The following is a 24104-nucleotide window of genomic DNA, read 5'->3' as shown; positions in this document are numbered from 1 at the left end:
CTACATATTGAGTATAGCACATACTACTCAGGTGATGAGTGCACTGAAATCTCAGACTTTGCCATTATACAATTCATCTATTTCACCAAAAAACCATTCGTACCCCCAAAACTATTGAAATATAGTTGTAATAAAATTAAAATAGGGGAGTGATTATAATAATAGATTTTCTAGTGTTGAAATGTCTTTATATACTTGGAGAAAGTCTATATAGTTAGGATATATTTTTGTATGTATATATTGCTAGATTTTGTTTAATAATTTGTTCATGACTTTAACATCTGTGTTTACTAGTAAATTTAGTTTTAAATGTTTTTTCCCATAATGTCTTCAACGGTTTTGTTACCAGGCAAGCTAGCATCATAAAATATCTTGAGAAAGAAGGTAGGATGTTTTACATGGTTGTTTACACTGCAGAAAAAGAGCTTGTGTACAAATGGAATTATTTATTCTTTAAATACTTAAAAGAATATTCCTGTAAATCTTCTAGGAACTTTATATTTTCTTGGTGAAGAGTTTTTAACTACTGATTCTATTTGTTTAATTATTATAAGCTTGTTCAGGTTCTGTAATTCTTCTTTAGCCAGTTTGTTAAATTGTAATTTTATAATAATTTCTCAATGCATTTTATTTATATTTTCAAATTTTTTGACTATAGTTACTTATAATATGTACATTTACATACAAATTTAGTAGCATCTATGGTTATATTCTCTTTTTTATTCCCAAAAGTTGTATGTTTACCTTCTCTCTTTGTTTCCTTTATCATTTTGTCAGGGGTTTGCGTATATAAGGGTTTGGTAGAGTTTTGGCAGGGGTTTGCCCACTTTTTATTAAATAATTAAATTTTCAATTAATATTTATCACTATATATATTTTATTCCTGTCTAGTTTCTTTGAATATATTCTGAATTAAGCATTTGAACTTTTAAACTTATGTTCAGCTAATTATCTTGTGCCTGTCTTTTATAATGTGAGCATTTAAGGGCATAAATCTCCTTATGCATAATCCTTCATCTGCATCCCGCAAGTTGTAATACCTAGTGCTATTTTTGGCATTCATTTAGAAATCAGTAACAAAATTTGTTACAATTCATTTCTAAAGCAATTACAATGAGTATGCAAATACCTTCTGATTATTGTGAATATGTCTACTTCATTCAATAAACATTTATATTCTTACAATATGATAGATTCTGGAGTTAGTTCTCTCATGATGCTGTTTATTCCTTGTATGATTATTCATTTTTGACTCTGATGCATTGATTTTCTGAGGATCTTAGTTGGTAGAAATAATATCTCAAATGAGGGAAGATTCCCCTGGTGAGGAATTTCACTTCATTTTAGAAAATGACCCACATTATTTCAAAGACTTTAATATAAATTTAAATTTATGAATTGAGATTTTCTTGAAAGAAGAGTGTTATGGACTGAATGTTTGTATACCCCTCAAAAATTCATATTTTGAAATTCTAACTCCCAATGTGACAATATTGGAGGTGTGGCCTTTGGGAGGAAATCAGGTCGTAAGGATGAAGCATTCATGAATGGAATTAATTGCTCTTATAAGAAGAGAAAGGAGAGAGCTTGCTTCCTCTCTCTCTGCTCTCTGCCATGTGAGGACACAAGAACATGGCCCCGGCTCAGTGGCTCATGCCTATAATCCCAGCACTTTCAGAGGCCGAGGCAGTAGGATCACCTGAGGTCAGGAGTTTAAGACCAGCGTGACCAACACAGAGAAACCCCATCTCTACTAAAAATACAAAATTAGCCAGGTGTGGTGGTGCATGCCTGTAATCCCAGCTATTCGGGAGGCTGAGGCAGGAGAATTGCTTGAATCCAGTAGGCGGAGGTTGCAGTGAGCCGAGATTGCATCATTGCACTCCAGCCTGGGCAACAAGAGTGAAACTCTGTCTCAAAAAATAAAATAAAATAAAATAAAAATAAGATGGCCATCTTCAAATTGGGAAGAATGCCCTCACCAGAACCCAAACATGTGGGCACTAAGATCTCAGACTTCCAGCCTCCAGACTGTAATAAATTTTTGATGTTTAAGTCACCCAGTTTATGGTATTTTTGTTATAGCAGCCCAAACTGACTAAGAGAGGTATTGTAATTTTGGGCTGAAATCTACATTTGGATTTGCTATGGCTATTGCTTTTCAATAGAACCTTTACTTCACACTCATTCAGCACTAAATTTTGAGACAAGAGAAACTCCATGAAGTCTGGAAAATTATGAAGAAAGTCAAAAGATTTTCTATATTTATAATTTCTCTTTATACTAAACCTATAGAATTTTGGTTTTCTAAGTTTGAATGGGGGGTAGTTATTAAGCTCACAGTTTTAGGTGAACTTTGAATTTTATATTCTATTCTTAAAATCAAAGAGATTATGAAACGTGATTAACAATTAACAAGGGATTTCAAAGAGTCTTCAAAGTGAAAGCCAGCTTCAATACCTCCTAAACTCTTTGGTTTGTACTTTCACTTAGTTCTTTACCTATCAAGTGTTTCTTATTTACTTTACAGCTCATGAAAACAAGTACAAGATATTACATTCTGGCAGATATATAGTTGTAAACTGTGACATTGTTTCAATATTAAGCTATTTCCTCCTGGATTGAATATTGTATTTAGCCCTTTCCCTGCAGCTGAGCTGCATTTGAGGTCTTTATTCTAAGTAATAGTTATAAAAGTCATGAGGCAAATAGTGTTTCATGGGTAGAATTACACATTCGCAAAGCTTCTAATTCAGACAAAGCAGGAGAGACTCCGTAGCCTTCTCAGATAGTAACAGAGGGACTGTGCTTGGTTGCAAGAAGTATTTCGACATCTAAATTCACCTAAATTAACACTTGTAATTACTGAATGCTCATGGTTTTCTAGTCATTGCTTGCAATTTCACATATAATTTCTGGCATGATTATGAATTCTGTCTATATGTCATTCAGTGACTCATATGATCACCTGTTTCTGTGGTTGTGTCAGCCTTCAGAGCTAAGAGAGATGGTTGCAGCCCTGAAGCTCCCTGATCATTTTTACCCACTTGAGTTGAGCCTTTATAACACTGAATTTATCATATTCTTTCTTCTAACTTCAGTTCAGTTAGAAATAGGCAACCCTTTAGCTCATTATTATCATGATGATTTATTAAAATTCTCCCTCCGTTTTCCAATCTTGCTTCCAAGAGCAGCTTTATTCCAAATAATCCACAGGTCAAAATGTAAATGATGAATTCTCCACTGCTTACTTCGGACTAGCCAGTTGGTCCTGCCTATGCTGCTGACATAGCTTCATGTGCCTTTGAGTCCAACATAAGACAAAACAAATTCCACGTTTGCATCTCTTTGAAACTCCATTGCCTGTGACTACTTGATATGGTTTGGCTGTGTCCTTACCCAAATCTTATCTGAAATTTTAATCTAAATTGTAATCCCCAGGTGTCCAGGGAGGGACCTGGTGGGAGGTGATTGGATCATGGGAACGGATTTCCCCCTTGCTCTTCTTGTGATAGGAGTGAGTTCTCACGAGACCTGATGGTTTTATAAGAGGCTCTTCCCCTTCCCTCCCTCTCTCTCTCTCTCTCTCTCTCTCGCTGCCTTGTGAAGAAGGTGTCTGCTTCCCCTTCATCTTCCGCCATGATTGTTAAATTTCCTGAGGCCTCCTCATCCATATGGAACTGTGAGTCAATTAAACTTCTTTCCTTTATAAATTACCCAGTCTCGGGTATTTCTTTATAGTAGTGTGTAAACAGACCAATACAGTACTCAGTTACTGTATTGAAACAATTTCATGTTGCATGAAATAGAATCGTCTTGGGCTAGTTTAATTTGAAGGACATTTATTAAATGTTTTATGTGGCTTATGGAGAGATTAGAGGGGCCCAAGCCTTGCCTCTCCACAGGGCCTTACTTTTTGATGTGGCTGGGTATTTTTGTTTGTTTGTTTCTTTTTACATGTGGCCAAGGTTCCTCCTCAGAAGCCCCTTTTCCGTGGCTACAGTGCTTGACAAGTTTTATTAATGCCACTCACTCCTTTTAACTTACACCTGGGGAAGTAAAAATTTCCTAATGTCGTTGATTCTGACTTTTTTGATTCTCTGAACACTGCCCACTACTTTATTTAAAAAAGAGCTTTTCTATTAGCCCTTTAAATATTTCACCTATTTTCATCAGGATCTTGACTGATGTAGTAACCATACTTGATTGGTGATTCCTAAACGTGGCTGCTATTAAAGCATTTGGGAATGTTCAAAGTTATACAGATTTTAAAATATCTATTTTTTAAAATTCTGAGCCATACTCTCAGACTAATTAAATCAGGATTTTTTCAACTGGGTTTGGACAAAAATATCATTTTGTTTTCTCCATTATTGCAATGTACAATCAAGCTTTGAGAAAAAGTTGCTCTAAGGTATAAATTTCAAGCAGATTTAGACTCTGTGTATTAACCCTATAGAGAAAACTGAAATATAAATGTTCCCTTTCCTTGTCACTAATTTTGCCCATTAAAGTGGCAGCTTTATTGTCACTTTGAGTAAATATAAATGTATGAATTGATTACAAATGGAGATGTAGAAGAACAGATAGAAAGATTTGGCCTCCTTTGTCGTGGAGTATTGTAGCAAATTATTGGAAAAATTACAATTCAACAGCTTCTATGCTGCACAAAGAAGCAGATATAATATAGACCAGAAATAAGTATTTTTGAGTATTATAACAATGTAGTCACCAATTTTATTTTGTTTGTAGTATTTTTTTTCCAACCGACTCTCATGCTTTATTTTCTGCTGAAAACTTTCTTTAATCATTGTCAGGCTTAGGCAATATTTAACCAACTGGTATTTACATGTGATGAGAAACATGGGTACATTGAATTTAGAAAGTTAAATCTAGCAAACAACCTGACAGACTGTTCAGTCTTTAATAATGTGAGAATAAACAGAATAAATTAAAAGCACACCATATTCTTCTCAGCTTCCTCAGGGGCTTTGTCCAAACAGCTTGAACAACTGCAAAATAATATTCAGGTAATTTCCAAGCATTCTGCTGTTATCATTTATTCTTCTTTGTTTATATTTGGCACAAAATAATTGTACATATTTATGTGGAACAGATTAATTATTTTGATAAATGTATGCAATGTGTAATGATCAAATCAGGGAAATTGGTATATCTGTCACATCCAACCTGTATCATTTCTTTTTGTAACATTCAAAATCCTCTTTTCTTGCTATTTGTGCATATGCCATAAATTACTGTTAATCATATTCTTCCTACAGTGCTGCAGAACAGTAGAACTTATTCCTCCCATAGCTGTAATTTTGTATCCCTAATTAACCTTTCCCTATCCTCTCCCATGTCCCTACAGTTCTCAGTCTCTAGTAACCATAATTTTACTTTCTACTTCCATGAAATCAATTTGTCTTAGCTCTCACATATAAGTGAGAACATGTAGTATTTATCTTTCTTTACTTGATTTATTTCACTTAACATAATGTCCTCTCAGCTCATCCATGTTGCTGAAAATAACAGAGTTTTATTCTTTTATATGGCTGAATAGTATTCTATTGTGTATATATACCACATGTTCTTTACCCATTCATCAGTTGATGGACATTTAAGTTGATTCCACATCTTGGCCATTGCAAAAATGCTGCAATAACCATGGGTGCAGATATCTACATATGTTTTTGATATACTGACTTTTTTTTGTCTTTGGATGAATACTCAGTAGTGAAATTGCTGGATCAAATAATTATTTTTGTTGTTTTTTGAGAAAACCTCATACCGTTTTCATAATGGCTGAAATAATTTTTATTTTTCACTAACGGTGTATAAGAGCTCCCCTTTCCCCATATTCTTGGCAACATTTGTTACTTTTGTCTTTTTTTTTGGGGGGGACGGAGTTTTGCTTTTATTGCCCAGGCTGGAGTGTAATGGTGCAATCTCGGCTCACAGCAACCTCTGCCTCCTGGGTTCAAGCAATTCTCCTGCCTCAGCCTCCAGAATAGCTGGGATTATAGGCATGTGCCACCATGTCTGGCTAATTTTGTATTTTTAGTAGAAACAGGGTTTCTCCATGTTGGTCAGGCTGGTCTCGAACTCCTGACCTCAGGTGATCCACCTGCCTCTGCCTCCCAAAGTGCTGGGATTACAGGTGTGAGCCACAGCGCCCAGCCTTGTCTTCTTGATAATAGTCATTCTAACTGGGATAACATGATAGTCCATTGTGGTTTTGGTTTGCATTTTTCTGATGATTAGAGATGTTGGGCATTTTTTTTTTCATATACTCATTGGCCATTTGTATATCATCTTTTGAGAAATATCTATTCAGAATGTTTGCCCATTTTTAATGGGAATGTTATTATTATTTGCTCTTGAGTTGCTTGAGTCACTTGTATATTCCCAATATTAGTCCCTTGTCAGACGAATACTTTGAAAATATAGTTCTCATTCTACAGGTTGTCTTTGCATTCTGTTGATTGTTACCTTTGCTGGAGAGATGCTTGTTAGTTTGATATATTCCTATTTGTCTATTTTTTTTTTTTTTTGCCTGTGCTTTTGTAGTCTTATCTATAAAATATTTTCCTATATCAATGTTCTGAAGGATTTCTCCTCTGTTTTATTCTAGTTGTTGAATAGTTTTGGGTCTTGAATTTAAGCCTTTAATCGATTTTACATTGATTTTTGTACGTGGTGAGAGATAGGGGTGTAGTTTCATTCTTTTACACATGGATATCCAATTTTCCCAGCACCATGCATTGAAGAAACTGTCCTTTTCCAAATGTATGTTCCTGGAAACTTTGTCAAAAATAAGTTGGCTATAAATATGATATGTGAATTTATTTATAGGTTCTCTGTTCTTTTTAATTGGTCTATTTCTGTTTTTATACCAATACCATGTTATTGTGGTTAATATAGCTTTGTAGTATATTTTGAAGCCAGGTTGTGTAATGCCTTCAGGCTTGTTCTTTTCACTCAGGATTGCTTTAGCATTTTGGAGTCTTTTGTGGTTCCTGTTTTCCATCAGTTTTGGTATGCTGCATTTCTATTTTCATTTGTGTCAATAAGTTTTTTTAAATTTTCTTCTTAATGTCTTAATTGGCCCACTGGTTTCTTTGGAGCATGCTGTTTTATTTCTCTGTATTTGTAGAGTTTAAAAATTCCTCTTGTTGCTGATTTCTTGTTTTATTCCATAGTGTTCTGAAAAGAGACTTGATATGATTTTGATTTTTTAGAATTTTTGAGATTTGTGTGGACTAACATATGGTCTCTTCTGCAAAATGTTCTATGTACTGATGAGAAGAATATGCATTCTGTAGATGCTGGATGGCATGTTCTGTGAATATCTGTTAGGCCTATTTGATCTATAGTTCAGTTTAAGTTCTATGTTTCTTTGTTAATTTTCCATTGAGATGATCTGTCCAATGCTAAAAGTGGGATGTTGAATTCTTCCATTAATATTTTATTGGGGCTGGGCACAGTGGCTTACGCCTGTAATCCCAGCACTTTGGGAGACCGAGGCGGGCAGATCACCTGAGGTCTGGAGTTCAAGACCAGCCTGGCCAACATGGTGAAACCCTATCTCTACTAAAAATATAAAAAAAAAAGAAAAGAAAAAAATATAGCTGGGAGTGGTGGCAGGTGCCTGTAATCCCAGCTTCTCAGGAAGCTGAGGTAGGAGAATCACTTGAACCCGGGAGGTGGAGGTTGCAGTGAGCCTATAACACACCACTGCACCCCAGTCTGGGTAACAGAGCAAGACTCTGTCTGAAAAAAAAGTTTATTGGGTTTGATCTTTCTTGTTAGCCCTAATAATATTTGCTTTATGCCTAGATTCTCTGGTGTTGGGTACGTACATATTTGTAATTGTTATATCCTCTTGGTGAGTTCATTACTTTCTGATTATATAATGAACTTTTTTGTCTCTCATATTTCTTTTTTTTTTTTTTTTTTTTGAGACGGAGTCTCGCTCTGTCGCCCAGGCTGGAGTGCAGTGGCGGGATCTCGGCTCACTGCAAGCTCTCATATTTCATTTTTAATTAAGGTCTATTTTGTCAGATGTCAGTATAGCTATTTTTATACATTTTTAGTTTACATTTGTATAAAGTATCATGTTCCATCTCTTCTCTCTATGATTGTTTTTATAGATGAAGTGAGTGGCTTGTAGGCAGAATATAGTTGGGTCTTGTTTTTTAATTGATTCAGTAAATCTCTATCTTTTAATTGGAGAATTTAAACCATTTTTACTCAACGTTGTTATTGATAGGTGGGACTTATGCCTGTCATATTGTTAGTTCTCCTTCCTTCCTTCCTTCCTTCCATCTGTCCATCCTTCCTTCCATCCTTCCTTCCTCCCTCCCACTTTTTCTTTTTTCTTGCTTTCTCTTTCTTTCTCTTTCCTTCTCTCCTTCCTTCCCTCCTTCCTTCCTTCTTTCCTTCCTTCCTTCCTTCCTTCCGTTCCTCCCTCCCTCCCTCCCTTCCTTTCTTCTTTCCTTCTTTCTTTCTTTTTCTTTCATTCTACTTTTTTTTATTTAATTTTATTTTTAGTCCCAGGGTACATGGGCAGGATGTGCAGGTTTGTTACATAGGTAAACTTCTCCCATCATGGTTTTCCACACCTATCAACCTGTTACCTAGGTATTAAGCCCCACATGCATTAGCCATTTACTCTAATGCTTTCTCTCTCTTTCCTTGTATATCCTTTGTTTCTTTATTCATCTCTTTATATCTAATTTTTCAGTTTGATTTATCTCTGAAGTTAATAGTGTTTGAGTCCTTTCTTTTTCTCATTTGTGTATCTGCTTTACCAGTGAATTTTATATTTTTGTGTGTTTTCATTATAGTAGATATCATCCTTTTGCTACCAGACGTGGCGGCTCTTTTAGAGCTAGCCTAGTGGCAATGAGTTCTCTCCATTTTTGCTTGTACCAGAAAGACTTTTTTTCTCTTATGAAGCATAGCTTTCTGCACATGGTATTTTTGGCTGACAGGTGTTTCCTAACCCCCCTCCCCACCCCCAGGATGATGAATATATCAGCCCATTGTCTTCTGGTTTATAAAGTTTCTGCTGAGAAATCTGATGTTAGTCTGATATGCATTTTCTTATATGTGACTTAACACTTTGCTATTTTTAGAAAATTTTCTTTGTGTATTTGAGGTTTGGCAGTTTGACTTCAATATGCCTGAAAGATGACCATTTGGGTTGAAATTTTTGGATTTATTTGAGCTATCTGTATCTGGATCTCTATTTCTCTCTCAGGACTTAAGTTCTTAGCTATTATTTCATTAAATAGATTTTCTATGTATTTTCTCATCTCTTCACATTCTCGAACATTAAAAAAAGTAAACATTTTTGCACTTAATGGTGTCGCATATGTCATGTAGAATTTCTGTATTCTTTTTATTCCCTTATCCTTTCTTTTTTACTGATCTGACTGTGTTATATCATAAGACCTGTTCTCAACAGATTTTTTTTTTTTTTGCTTTGTTTGGTCTAGTCTACTGAAACTCTCAAGTGCATTTTTATTTGATTTATTGAATTCATCACTTCCAGGATTGTCATTTGGCTTTTCTATATGATATCTGTCTCTTTATTGAATGTCTCATTTAGGTTATGAATTGGTTTCCTGATTTCTTTGCATTGTCTGGCTATATTCTCTGCTATCTGAGTTTCATTAAGATCTTTATTTTGTATTCCCTTTCAAGCATTTTATAAATTTCCTTTCTTCAAGGTATATTAGTAGATAATTTTTGCATTACTTTACAGCTTTCATGTCTTCCTGTTTTTAATGAAGTTTGAGTCCATACGGTTATATCCATGCATCTGATATAATGGTTGATAGTTTTAATTTTATGGATTAGCTTTCATAAGGTATAGTATGGTTTGGCTGTGTTCCCACCCAAATGTCATCTTAAATTTTAGTTCACATAATTCCCACATGTCATGGGAGGGAGTTCGTGAGAGGTAATTTAATCACAGGGGCAGTTACCCTCATGCTGTTTTTGTGATAGCAAGTTCTCATGAGAGCTGATGGTTTCATAAGGGGCTGGTTCCCCTTTTCCTTGACACTTCTCCTTCCTGCCACCATGTGAAGAAGGATATGTTTGTTATCTCTTTCTCCATGATCTTAAGTTTTCTGAGGCCTCCCCAGCCCTGTGGAACTGGAGTTAATTAAACCTCTTTTCTTTATAAATTACCCACTCTCAGGTATGTCTTTATTAGCAGCATGAGAATGGACAAATAGAGTAAATTGGTACTGGGTAGTGGGGCACTACTGAAAAAGGTACCTGAAAATGTGGGAGCTACTTTGGAACTGGGTAGCAAGCAGAGGTTGGAAGAATTGGGAGGGCTCAGAAGAACATAGAAAAATGTGGGAAAATTTGGAACTTCCTAGAGACTTGGTGGACTCAGAAGGCAGGAAGATGTGGGAAAGTTTGGAACCTCCTACAGATTTGTTGAAGGGTTTTGACCAAAATGCTCGTAGTGATATGGACAATAAGGTCCAGGCTGAGGTGGTCTCAGATGGAGATGAGGAACTTGTTGGGAACTATGGAGTAAAGGTCACTCTTGCTATGCACAGAGACTGATGGCATTTTGTACCTGCCCTAGAGGTTTGTGGTACTTTAAACCTGAGAGAGATGATTTAGGGTATGGGGGAAGAAAGTTTTAAGCAGTGAAGCACTCAAGAGAAAACAAAGCATAACATTTGGAAAATTTGCAGCCTGATAATGTGATAGAAAAGAAAACTTCATTTTCTGAGGAGAAATTCAAGTCAGCTGCAGAAATTTACATAAGTAACAAGGAGCCGAATGTTAATTAATAAGACAATGAGGAAATGTCTCCAGGGCATGTCAGAGACCTTCAGGGGCAGTCCCTCCCATCACAGGCCTTTAGGCCTAGGAGGGAAAATTGGTTTCTTGGGTCAGGCCCAGGGCCCCTTGCTGTATAGCAGCCTTGGGACATGGTGCCCTGCATTCCAGCTACTTCAGCTTCAGCCATGGCTAAAAGAGGCAAATGTAGAGCTCAGGTCATTGCTATTGAGGGTGCAAGCCTCAAGCCCTGGCAGCTTACATGTGGTGTTGGGCCTGCAGGTGCACAGAAGTCAAGAATTAAGGTTTGGGAACTTTCACCTAGATTTCAGAGGCTGTATGAAAAAGCCTGAATGTCCAGACAGAAGTTTGCTGCAGGGGTGGAACTCTCATAGAGAACCTCTGCTAGGGCAGTGCAGAAAGGAAATGTGGGGTTGGAGCCCCCACACAAAGTCCCCACTGGGACACTGCCTAGTGGAGCTGTGAGAAGAGGGCCACCATCCTCCAGACCCTAGAATGTTAGATGGACTGATAGCCTGCACTGTGCCCCTAAAAAAGCTGCAGACACTCCACTCAATGCCAGCCTGTAAAGGCAGCCAGGAGTTGGGGTGTATGCTGCAAAGCTACAGGGGTGAAGCTGACCAATGTGGGAGCCCACCTCTTGTATCAGCAAGGCCTGGATGTGAGACATGTAATCAGAGGAGATCATTCTGGAATTCTAAGGTTTAATGACTGCCCTGTTGGATTTTGGACTTGCATAGGGCCTGTAGCCCCTTTGTTTTGGCCAATTTCTCTCACTTGGAATGGGTGTATTTACCTATGCCTGTATCCCCATTGTATCCAGGAAGTAATTAACTTGCTTTTGCTTTTACAGGCTTATAGGCAGAAGGGACTTGCCTTGTCTCAGATGAGACTTTGGACTTGAACTTTTGAGTTAATACTGGAATGAGTTAAGACTTTGGGGGACTGTTGGAAGGGCATGATTGTGTTTTGAAATGTGAAGACATGGGATTTGGGAGGGGCCAGGTTGGAATTGGATATGGTTTTGCTGTGTCCCCAACAAATCTCTTCAGCTGTAGTTCCCCATGTGTCGTGGGAGGGACCCAGTGGGTGGTAATTGAATCATGATGGCAGTTACCCTCTTGCTTTTCTTGTGATAGTGATTTCTCATGAGAAGTGATGATTTTTGTAAGGGGCTTTTCCTTTTTTTTTTGCTCAGTACTTCTAGCTGTTGCCATGTAAAGATGGACGTGTTTGCATTTCTTTCCACCATGATTGTAAGTTTCCTGAGGCCTCATTAGCCCTGCAGAAATGTGACTCAATTAAATCTCTTTCCTTTATAAATTACCCAGTCTTTGGTATGTCTTTATTAGCAGTGTGAGAATGGACTAATAGAGGGTAAGACATTTTTCTGTAGATGTAGCTATAGTGTTGATTGAGTCGTGCTTTGGCTTTGGTTCTGGGTGGACACAGTAATGGATTCTTTATATGATTTATTCTGCTGTAATCTCTCAGTGGTATCTGCAAGTTCGTTATTGGCTTAGGCTGTTATTGTTTTTGGAAGGTGTGGTATGAATTTTGGGGGATGGAAAAAGCCTTACAGAGAGGTCCTCAGGCTTCTGGGTGGCATATGTGGGCACTGTCACTGGCAGCAGTGTCCCTGTGTAGGCTAGCTCTTGCTCCCCTGGGTGGCACATGTGGGCATCAGTGGTGGCAGTGGTGTGCATGCATGTGGTTGCCAATGACAGCAGGTATGGGCACATGCACAGTTGCTGCCAGCAGTGGTAACCTGTGCAGGCTGATCCTCATGTTCCTGGGCAACAGTCATGGGCATGTAATGACCCTACCACTGGAGGGCATGAGGTTGCTATTACCAGCACCGGGTCCCAGCATGTGGCTTGCAGGTTGTGGGAAGTGGTTACTTTGGTTCCTTATATCCTGGGAGCAGCTTCCCTCATGTGCTGGACTGCCTGTTCCCCAGGATGTAGTGTATTGTATGTACCAGGAATGTGGCTGCATTGCTGGGTTCAGCTGGCACTGTGACTCTGCAGCTCTCTGAGTGGATGTGAGGGGATTCTGGCGGGGCTCTAGGAATGTGGTGATGCAGGGGCTCTTGGTTTTGAGGGCAGAAAGTAGTCTAGTGGGAGTCTACTCTCAAAATAGCACTGTGCTGCAGCAGCATGGGTCCTAGATATGGGGAGGTTACAGTGTGAATTCCCTCTCTGGACTAATGGAGTCACGTGAGTTCCAGGGAGTTCTCTACTATGAGGACTGAGGGGATCTTCCATACCTAAGACTGCAGGGAATGTGCATTGCTAGGGATCTCCTGCTGCATTATCTCCACAATGGAATGTTTTTCTTCTCTCAGAGTCAATCCCAGCTGGCTGCTTTGTCTCCCTCTATTTGCTGCCATTTTTAAGTTTTTGTGTCTCAGAAAATCATTTTCACTTTCTTGCTAAATTCCAGTGTTTTCCCTTAGAACACTACTCCACATGTTATTATCTACTTCCTGTTTTAGTACCTCTTTGTGGAATAGGTGAGTGCTGGGCATCTCTAGTCAGTCATCTTGATGATGTCTTTCTCTAGTTGCAGTATTTTAAACATTTTCTAAAAGAAGAATATAGCCACATTACATCAAAAGTGCCCTTCAGAGAGTCTGGTATTTTATATTGCCTGAAGTTTCATATAACCATCAAAATATCCATATAAATGTATACATACATATATACACACACATATACATATATATACACATACATACAAACACAAAAACACATATATTGACTCATTTTTTCAGAAATATTTCAGAAAAAGGGAACTGTGTGTGGAGACCTTGCCTGGCTTATTCAAAACTAAATACCCACAAAAGTGTTTGAATTGTAATATTTTGAATATTTGCCAAAATAATGATCAAATGAATGAATAATGAATGAATGAATGAAACAAGTATAAGCATACATGAGTTTGAAATTCAGGGTAAAATTTAAGGCTGAAGACCAATCTATGAATCATGGGTATGTAGATAGGTATACAGTGAGCCCTTTATATCCCCGGGTTTTACATCTATGGATTCAACCAACAGCAGATTGAAAATATCTTAAAATCCATCTGGGCTGAACGTGTACAGACTTTCTTCCTGTCATTATTTTCTAAACAACACTATATAACAACTATTTACATAGCATTTACATTTCATTGGTAATATAAGTAATCTAAAGATTATTTAAAGAATATAGGAAGATGTGCATTGTATTTATATGCAAATACTACACTACTTTATATAAGAGACTTGAGCCTTTGCAGATTTTGGCATCCCTGGGAAGTCCTAGAACCAATCCCCAAGAAGTATCAGCCAGGATGAGATTACCATGAGATATAGTGTATTAAGTACAAAGTTACAAAAAAGAAACATAAGAACAATACATCCCTGAAATACACTATATTTACAAGTTGAAAAAAAGGGAAGGATTCATAAAATGGAACTCAGAAGTACACATCAATAAAGCAGGAAGAAAATCAGGAATCCATAATATCACATAAGTCAAGGGAATTTACTGTTTAAAGAAGGAGGTGCTGTTCAATTTTTCTGAGTGATTCTGAGAGAGCATGTAAGATGAGAAGAGACAGAGGGCTTTTGTTCTTTGTAATAGGAGGTCAGTGGTGATATATACATGAACAGCTTCAGTGGAGTTCCAGGGGCACAAGTTCAGCAAAGAAAAGAAATTCAGAAACTTGAAATGGATTACAGCCAACTATTTGAGTTTTCATGTGAAAAGTGACAAAAAATAGGGCAGTACCTGAAGGCAGATAGGAGGTCAAGAGAAGCTTCTAAAAATATAGATTGCAGATATAGAACATGTTGTAAGTTAATGGGAATTATTTCTTGATTTTACAATAATTAAAATTTTTAAGTCAAAGCTGGAAGAAGTAATTTTATTTAATAAATGCTAATTAATAAAGAACATTAAATTCTTCTACTTTGTTACAAAAAGAAAATTGAGAAGTGAATGGATAGTGGAATGCACCAGCCATTAGCACAGATAGTTATAAAAGACGAAAAAACAAATATCATGCTACGGACATAAATAACTTAATGGATAAATTGGACTTTTTCTTGTATTATCTTGCATAATAATCTATAATCTATTCAAAGATACTGGAAGCAACAAGACAATGAAGTGATGTGACCAATCTAAAAATATTTTTCCTCTAAATATGCTATCACATATTTTATATCTGACCACAACAGCATGTGCATAGGTCTATGCTAGCCTAATTATAGTGCAATTAACGATTATTGACTTCTACCACTAAATTATAAGAATTCCTAGACCAGAAGATTCATTTTTTATGATTATTTGCATTTATTTATTTATTTTAGGGTTAAGAATGTGGTCTCTGGGGTTCTAGTATCTTGATTCTAATTCTACTGTATAGTCTTGCTTAAGTTTTTTAACTTCCTTAAGCCTCAATTTGATTTATTTTAAAATGGACATAATATTAACAGATACATAGTATGATTTTCCAAGGTATATCATGACACATAAGAGTCAAGTTTTTAGTTCATATAGTAAGCACTCAATAAATTTGGCTATTATTGTTATGTTTCAGGAACCATGATAGTGTTTGGTACATAGAGGACACTGGAAATGGTTTTCTTAACTGAACAAGTGACTAGAATAAAGGAATTAATGAACGACATCAGAGCTGAAATCCCAAACCATAAATCATAAAAGGATCAGACAGCAAAGGTAAGGATAGTGTTTCTTGAACAGCTGTGTCAGTATGTCCATGATCCTGAGAGGAGAAGGGAAAGTCTTGACTGACTAAAGTGATGATTCTGAACTGTGAATAGACTCAAGAATATCACTGTTTTGCATAATCTATTCTTTGATATCTAGTTTAGGGCCAAGAAGGAATATGTGTTCTTGATAATGACAACAGATATGTTTATTGATCGTAGCAAGACATATAAGATAGCTGCTTGGCCAGAAAAGGAGGAGAGAGCTGAGCCTGGGGACCTGGTTATGAGCAGGTGGTTTGTGTAGGTGGCTTTGGTACTTGGTTTAAAATATAGCTGGGTTCCTGGGATAGAAAGACAAAAATACTCTTGAGAGAGATTGCATAAAATTTGGCCACCAATGAAATCTAGGTGCTTATTTATTATTTTGACATATTATGGTCTTTTAAAGAGGAAATTTATACATTGTCTGTATTTATAATATAAAATGACTTGATCAGAAATAGTAAATAGAACAGCTGATTTTTAAAAATGCTACTAATTCAAGTTCTAGAGAAAATTAATAATTTTAATAATAATAACTACATTTTTAATAATATCCTTGTTTTCTCTGTAATGAAGTGCATAAATTTAGTGATTCATGATAAAGTCACCTGCATTTTCCTCCAAGAAATTTAACTTCCAATTCTATGGGGAGTTTTCAGTAACAGAACAAACACTCGAATTCTCCAATGCTTACAAACTGTTATGGAATGTTGGTACTCTCTTGGGATTTTTGTCCCTGACAAGCAATTAAGATTAGATTTTGAGAATAAATTGTGTCAAATGAGTGGATACAGAAAGAGCGGTTCTGACAAAAAATAATAAAGCATCATGGCAGAGATGGATAGGAAGGCTTACACTAAACAAGGACACAAATAGTAGTTAAGAAATTTTGAAAACAAACCTACTTTTACTACCTACAGCATATATTTGATAGATTCACCTCAGGATACAAAACCAGTGAATTTATCTCTGGGCTTACCCTCGAACAACAAAAAAGGAGCGAATTTCCATTTCCACAAGAAACATAATGAAATCTCCTTGTGATTTCCCTTATTTTTTCTATATCGTAACAACTTATTCTTTGATCTTAGTTGGATAATATCCTTGTGATTGTCATTTGTTCTTTTAAAAAATGCACCTCTGTACACATGAGTAATTGAGTATAAACATCTGGAGCCAGATTGCACATTTAAACTATGGATCAATATTCCTCCAGAAGTGGTAAAGACTTTGTGTGTTCTAAAGTAGTAAGAAAAAAGAAGTACCTTTCTGTTATTATCCAGTAGCTCACAGGAATGTGAGCACAAATTATTCTAAGTAAATAACAACATTCAGAGCACACTGTGCTATAACACGTCATGATAATGGATACCATTTGCTGGTTTCTATTGGTTTTCTTCTCAATAGCTATGAAGTCGGTTGGGATTTGGTAAATGATATTTGTCTCACACTGAGAAAATGTGTATTCCCTCAAACTGCTGTTTCTCATGTAGTGCTTATGTATTTATATGGATATTACTGTTAGGAAAAATCCTACATTACCTAGTGCACTCAGCCCCTCTTTCTGTAGTAGCAGTAGTTGTTGTTCTTGTTTTGTGGCGGAGAGTTGATTGTTGTTTACTTGTTTAATTTTGTCAACATATTTTGAAATATGAATTTTAGGAAAATAAAGTAAAAATGAGTTGTGACAATTCAAACTTTAATTAGGGGCCTTAAATTTTACATTCATATATGTAAATGTTTGCATTATTATTTTGTAAATATTTGAATATTTAATCATGTAGCTGTATATCACTATTTGTTTTGTAGGTTTTAAAGTAATCAGGGATTACTTTATGGGATTATGTGAACTTCTTTTTGATTAGTATTTATTTATTTATTTGGTTTTTATTTATTTATTTATTTATTTATTATTTTTGAGACGGAGTCTCGCTCTGTCGCCCAGGCTGGAGTGCAGTGGTGCGATCTTGGCTCACTGCAAGCTCCGCCTCCCAGGTTCACACCATTCTCCTGCCTCAGCCTGCCAAGTAGCTGGGACTACAGTGACTGGCTAATTTTTTTTTTTTTTTTTTAAGTAGAGACGGGGTTTCACCGTGTTAGCCAGGATGCTCTCGATCTCCTGAACTCATGATCTGCCCACCTCGGCCTCGCAAAGTGCTGGGATTACAGGCATGAGCCAACACACCCGGCCTTGAATAGTACTTATTTAGACTAAAACTATGGTAGTTACAAAATAAAATCCAGTGTGTATAATAGGTTATGTTTTTTTAAAAATCTATTATAATTTTACAAAGTAAATTAAGATTTGGGAACATAACGAAGAAGGAAGCACCCAAAGACAAACTAGGTCTATTTTTTCAGGAAAAGATAAATTTATTTCATCTTCCTAACATCTCTTAAATTTTTCATAAGCAATCTGGAACCCTTCCACTGCCGTTTTTCTTGTTTTGTTTTATATCTCACCTTTGGGGTATTGACAACTTATTTTGAGTAAGCAGATGTTCATATGATTATTCCTCCCTATCCATGTGCTCCATCTTCCCTCTTTATAATGTGTAGACCCAGCTCATTCTTCACCTGTCATAGTATGCTATTCCTTGCCCTCTACTTCTCCCTATCTCTGAATTGCAGTGCCCTAATTTTTTCCTGCCTCCCATACTGCCCTAATTTTTCACAACTTATTGCACTGTCCTGTTTCTTTGGATTCAAATCCTTTTGTCCTTCATCAGTCTTTTCACTCAAATGTGTATGTACATGGACAAATTTATTTTGGGATCAAAAATTGAAAAGGACAAAAAATGTCTACAAGGACACAAAGAAATGTAATGTGTACCAGTTTTCTCCTTGTTTTTCTCAACATTTCTCCAATTATATTATGGAAACAAAAACACTAGACTCAGACAGCTTTCAATAAAGCATAGTAACTTTAGAAATATTTAGAATATGAAAGGAAGCCATGAAGTATAAAGAAAAAAAGCTATGCTTTGTATTTACTATTTTCTAGGCCAGGAGGCCACAGTGTCAAAAAATTAATTCACTGTATTTCTATCACTTTTCAAAGAAAATTCTGGTCAACTAAATTTAAAAATCATAAAGACTACTTTTAAATAGTTGAAGACTAAGTTTTAAAAATATGTATATCTTAATATTTAGCAACTTTTTTTTAAATTTTGACATTGAATAAAATACTAAGTTTAAGATGATGAGGGAAGCTTTGGTAAGGAAAATTAAAAACCTACTGAATTTAAATTCTAGAATTTTAGATTTTAATATAAGGCTAGTGGTTATTTGACCATAAATAGAAAAAAAAATGAGTTCCTAGTCAGCAAAGTGATTTACACAAGTTACATGAAAATTTTCTAGAATAACTAGAGCTTTAGAGCCTCCTCACTCCAGGATATGTTCTTTGGAATAAAGTGCTTGTTTGAATTTCATTTGCCATCTGTGTGACTTACATCCCAGAAAACACACACACAAAAAACAAAAACAAATAAGAAATAATAATACCAGTCAGTGCTCACCTTTTGTTTAATTCTATATTAAACATAATAGATGGATTGACATTTTTGAGCAGTGATATGATCAGTGAAATCATTCTTAATATGTTGATCAGACCATATCTAATATTCTGGATCATGGATCTGTAAATTTTTTCAGTAAAGAGCCAGATAGTATAAAGTATATGACTTTGTAGACTCTATGGTTTCTGTTGGCAACTACTCAACTGGGCCATTGCTGCACTAAAGCAGGCACGCACAAAACTTAAGTGTGTGAGTATGTTTTAAACGGCACTCAAATATTGATTTCATATAATTTTCATGTGTCACAAAATATTCTCTTTCTTTAGCAATTAAAATTGTAAAAATCATCATTAGCTCATGGACTATGCAAAAATAGGTCATGGAGCACATTGGTCCACTACACCACTCTTTGCTTGTCTTGAGTGAAACACAATCATAATGTTGATAAACATAGAAATAAGGTTGGAAACCTCAATGGTGTCATCCACTAAAAATGTAGTAGTCTTTAAAGAAACTTCAAGACTAGCTGGGCACAATGACATGTTCCTATAGTCCCAGGTACATGGGAGGCTGAAGTGGGAGGATCCCTTGAGTCCAGGAGTTCAAGGATATAGTGTGCTATGACCACACCTATAAATAGACTACACTCCTGCCTGGGCAACATAGTGAGACTCTATCTCTTACTAAATGAATGACTGGATGAATGAATGAATGAATGAATAAATGAAATTTAAAAAATAAAAAATTCCGGACCAATTTTGTTCTTTAAAAATATCTAGAGTATAGGTAAGGAAGATTCACTCAGCAAGCACACACAATGTACCAGGCACCCCCTGGACACATTTCAGATACATGAGCAGACTTAATCACCATAATATGTGAGATGAATTAACAATGATAAAGCTAATAGGAAGGGGCTAACTAACTTACCCAGGAACACACAACTATTAGGTGATTAAACCCAGAGTTCTAATCCAAACCTTTGGATTCCGAAGCCTCAGTTTTTTCCACTTTCCCTTATTATAATAAAGTTCATGTTAAATAAGGAAAATGTATGCAGTTTGATTCCTCAGTAATATATGATACCCCTTCAAACAAGTTTGAGATCGATTAGTGGTGACAGCATTTCAGATATCATTATGCAGAAAAGCCTGCTGAGAAATTCCCCTGGAAAGAACATAAAAGCTCAGGGAACAGATGAAAGTACAAGTGTAGCCAAATCTACTCAATAAAACTTGACTTTGTCTTTTTTTTATGTTTAAGCAGATGAAGGCCACAGGGTGGTCTGAGTTCAAAATTGGTGCTTACTCCAAATGAAGAGCAGTCTTTAGTAGTGAAGGAATCCCTTGCATATCTACAGGACCTTGTTTATGAAAGCAGAGAACCACTGTTCTAGCAAACTGGCAAAAACTTACATTTCCCTAGTTTTGCTGGCTCTGCAAAACATTGTGCACAGCTGTACTCAAACCCATTAGCTCAACCTTTCAGAAAATTCTCTCACAGAAATTGCTTAGAGGTTCATAGCCTGACAGTTGCTGTGTGTTTTGAGAGCTTTACCTGTCGGAAGCCGGCTCAGCATTCTTTTGCTTAATTGGTCTGTAGAGACTGGTCATTTTAGATGAAGAAGTTCCACACCTCCGAGAGAATGGCATCTATCTCAGCCCATAATCAGCTAATTTGGAGAATGGGAATACAGCTAGCTCTGGGGGATGCTTACCCTCCACTCTATGTTGAGACAGGGTGAAAGGACTGTAGAAAGCGCATCAAGCAATGTAAAATTAAGGGGAAACTGGGAATAGAGAAAAACAGTGTTCAAAATATAAAAAGTGTATTACTTCAAAATCTAGGATACAGTCACCTGTGTGTGTATACAGATTTTGAAATTTAAATAGGAATATCTAATTTTGATTTCAGATTGCCAAATAATGACATTTCACATTTAGTTATAGCTTTGTCTATCACACAAGCTGTTTCTAAGATCAATGAATTTTGTAGTGGAAAGGATCAAAAGAATAGAGTAACTTGGGCCTTGAATCATGAGGGTGTGCCAGATAATGCTTTAGGGAGCAAAGAAGCAAACAGCATATTCATTTCTTCCAAGTAATTTACTTAGAAGGCAGTTTAGCCTACTGATTAAAAGCTTGCAGCTTGGTGCATAGCAACCCAGACTTATGCCTGGGCTTGCCATCTTCTAGCAATGTCATTTTGGGCAACTTAACTTCTCAGTGCTTCTGTATCTTTAACCTAAAAATCAAATTCAATTGAATTATCTTTTATTCTTATCCTTAAAGCTTTAAAATGTAACATTTAAATCTTACTATTTTGAATTAAAAGTCAGGACCATCCTTAAAACATTCTGGTGGCAAATCATTAAGGATATGCCAAGATGACTGATACAATTATAATTTCTCTTGAATGTTATAAAAAGCTCCTATTACTCTCTAGGTGCTTATTGAAGAGTCCAGGAATCATCACATTGTTCTATCTTATTTAAAAATGAACACTCTTTTTAAAAAATAAGAACAATAAAAGTTATACACTTTCACAAATAAGAAAACACCAACAAGAGCTATGTAAAATATGCGACTGTTTTCTTCAATTTTTACTTTAGAAAACATTATAAAAGCACATGGACACCTTAAAATGACACTCAGAGAGATAATTCATGGTCATTATAAATTCAGCCTGAACCATCAGATGTAAAATAGCCGGATATATTTATAAAATTATAGCACATAAGAAAGTAATGATGATCATCATTTCAGATTAATAATGTGGAAAAAATAATGCAATATAATATGGCAAATATGGAACAGGAAGATTCAGGACATACTCTATTAAGCTGAACATTTGAGTATTTAAAAGGGAGAACAGATGGTGCTTAGGAAAATGTCTGGAATATTATTTAATTGGCACACAAACTTCATTGTATTTTATCATGTGTATAAATAGGAATGATTTAGAAATATAAAAATATTAGTTTGATATAAATTATTATAAAAATGTTTATATTTGTTTAAGTGGTACAAGGTGACCTGATTTTATCAAATACAAAATAATGTAACAACACTAAAAAAATAAAAAATTCTATGGAAAATGTTGTTTTCATATTTCTTTGCTAATTTAATAAATGGTTCCAATTAAGAATTCTTAAATCAGTAATGAAATATCTTAATAGTCACTATATTTAGGTTAATGTATGAGAAATCATTAGACCTCAAAGCAAAAATTATACAGGATAAAGTTAAACAGGCAAGGAAGACTTTATTTTAATTTATTGAAATGCAGTGTGGAAAGGGGTGGACATAGGCCATTTATGGTTGTTAATTGGTGTTACCCAAATGAAAAGTAAACTTTCTGATATTTTCATAACTAGACATAGTTTTACAACTTAGAATATGTCACCCATTGAAGTCAGATTCCTACCCTACCACAGAGGCTGGGAGGTAGAGGTGCTGTCTTCCTTGATGATGATTATATATCAAAGGGATGGCTCCCAGGTCCTAGTGAGACAGTCCTGTGTGGTAAATCTGACAAGAGGCTTTTATAAAGATCTGCATTTCAAGGACGCAGAGAAGAAATCTGTAATTACAAGTTTTCTAAAGGAAAGGGAAGTCAGGGGCTATAGTAAGGAAGAAGCTTCTCTAAAACATAGTCAAACTGAGCCCATGTTGGCAGTCTAGATACTATGAAACTGTCACTACAAAAGTGACAGTTTTCTTCAGGAACCCGTTATTGATCTAAATATAGGTACACTGTTAGGAAAAGCACCACAAATTAATAGCAACTCAGAGAATATGTTAGAGAATGAAGGCAAGGCAAAAAGGAGCTTGTAGACAGGGCAAGGCTGGTGGTGGACTCCAGGAGTCAGTTCTGATTAGGAAATGAACCAGTAGCTCAATACATTAGAGTTAGACATAGCTCAGAAAACAACAACTTAAAACACTTTAAAGGCAGTAGATTAACCAGAGATAGATAAATATGGAATTAGAAGATCTGAAACTTACGTGCAGAGGCATTCAATAATCTGCACACACCCTTGCAATGATTTTTGTTTCGTTAATAGTAGGTGCTACTAGAATCTCTGTGTCTTTTGAGGGAACTCTATGGGCTCTACTCATACCTGTGGTTGCCCAGACCTTAAGGAATCATTCACATACTAGGAAGCATTTAATTTTCTGGTAATGACTGAAATGTTGCTTTTTTGGCTGGACCTGGGCCTCCCAATGTCTTCTTCCTCTCCCCCTCCTCTTGTAACCCTCCTTAGAGACTATAAAAACGAGACTGAAAAAGAAAGTGCCCTGTGCTGTGTAATCTCACTTATCAAAATGCTTATTCCACAGTGAATTAGTTTCCCAAATTGGCTACACATCAAAATGGCATTCAGGATTTGTAATTGTTAGAGTAGGTAGTTAGGCAGACATAAGCAGGGCAGGAGAGGAACCCCCAGGAATGTCAGGCAAATGTCAGGTGATGGTCAGGCAGTTGTTAAACTGTCTCTCTGAAATAATAATTGGTCACAGCCAGTGACAGGGGAAGACAGTCTTCCAATAGATAGAATACACCTGGAGCTGGATCTGCAGCTTCCCAGTAAGAACTAAAGAGGTGGGCTAGCAGGCTCGAGCATGAATACTAAGAGGCAAAATGGCAGATGCATGACCTTGCTTTGTGGGTGTTCAACCAATAAAGGAAAATTGCCCCTAGAGAGCATGAGCACAACCTCAGTAAACACACTGTGTATGTGTCACACTCCAAAATGCTGACCAACACTGTGCATGCAGCAGTTGAGCAACATCCTGCCCCAGAGGAAGAACCAAGAGAGGAGAGAAGAAAATCATGGAGTCATGCCAATGTATGAAACTCCAAGTCAAGAAATGAATGGGGCACTTGAGTCCTCAGAAATAACACCACACATCTACAACCATCTGATCTTTGAAAAACCTGACACAAACAAGCAATGGGGAAAAGATCCCCTATTCAAT

General features: G+C 36.3%; 1 long non-coding RNA gene across 2 annotated transcripts in view; it reads left to right on the top strand.

Moving 5' to 3' along the window:
* The first annotated feature begins 4905 nt into the window (after positions 1-4905).
* The window catches only part of LINC02484 (long intergenic non-protein coding RNA 2484), a 148337-nt gene continuing 129138 nt past the window's right edge, over positions 4906-24104 (top strand). For both annotated transcript variants that reach the window (NR_147183.1, NR_147184.1), the window contains exons 1-2: positions 4906-5030; positions 15427-15566. This is a non-coding gene — a long non-coding RNA (long intergenic non-protein coding RNA 2484). The remainder of the gene's footprint in view (positions 5031-15426; positions 15567-24104) is intronic.

Source organism: Homo sapiens, chromosome 4 (assembly GCF_000001405.40).
Source record: "Homo sapiens chromosome 4, GRCh38.p14 Primary Assembly".
Classification (NCBI taxonomy): Eukaryota; Metazoa; Chordata; class Mammalia; order Primates; family Hominidae; genus Homo; species Homo sapiens.
This window is presented reverse-complemented; position numbering and strand designations above follow the sequence as displayed.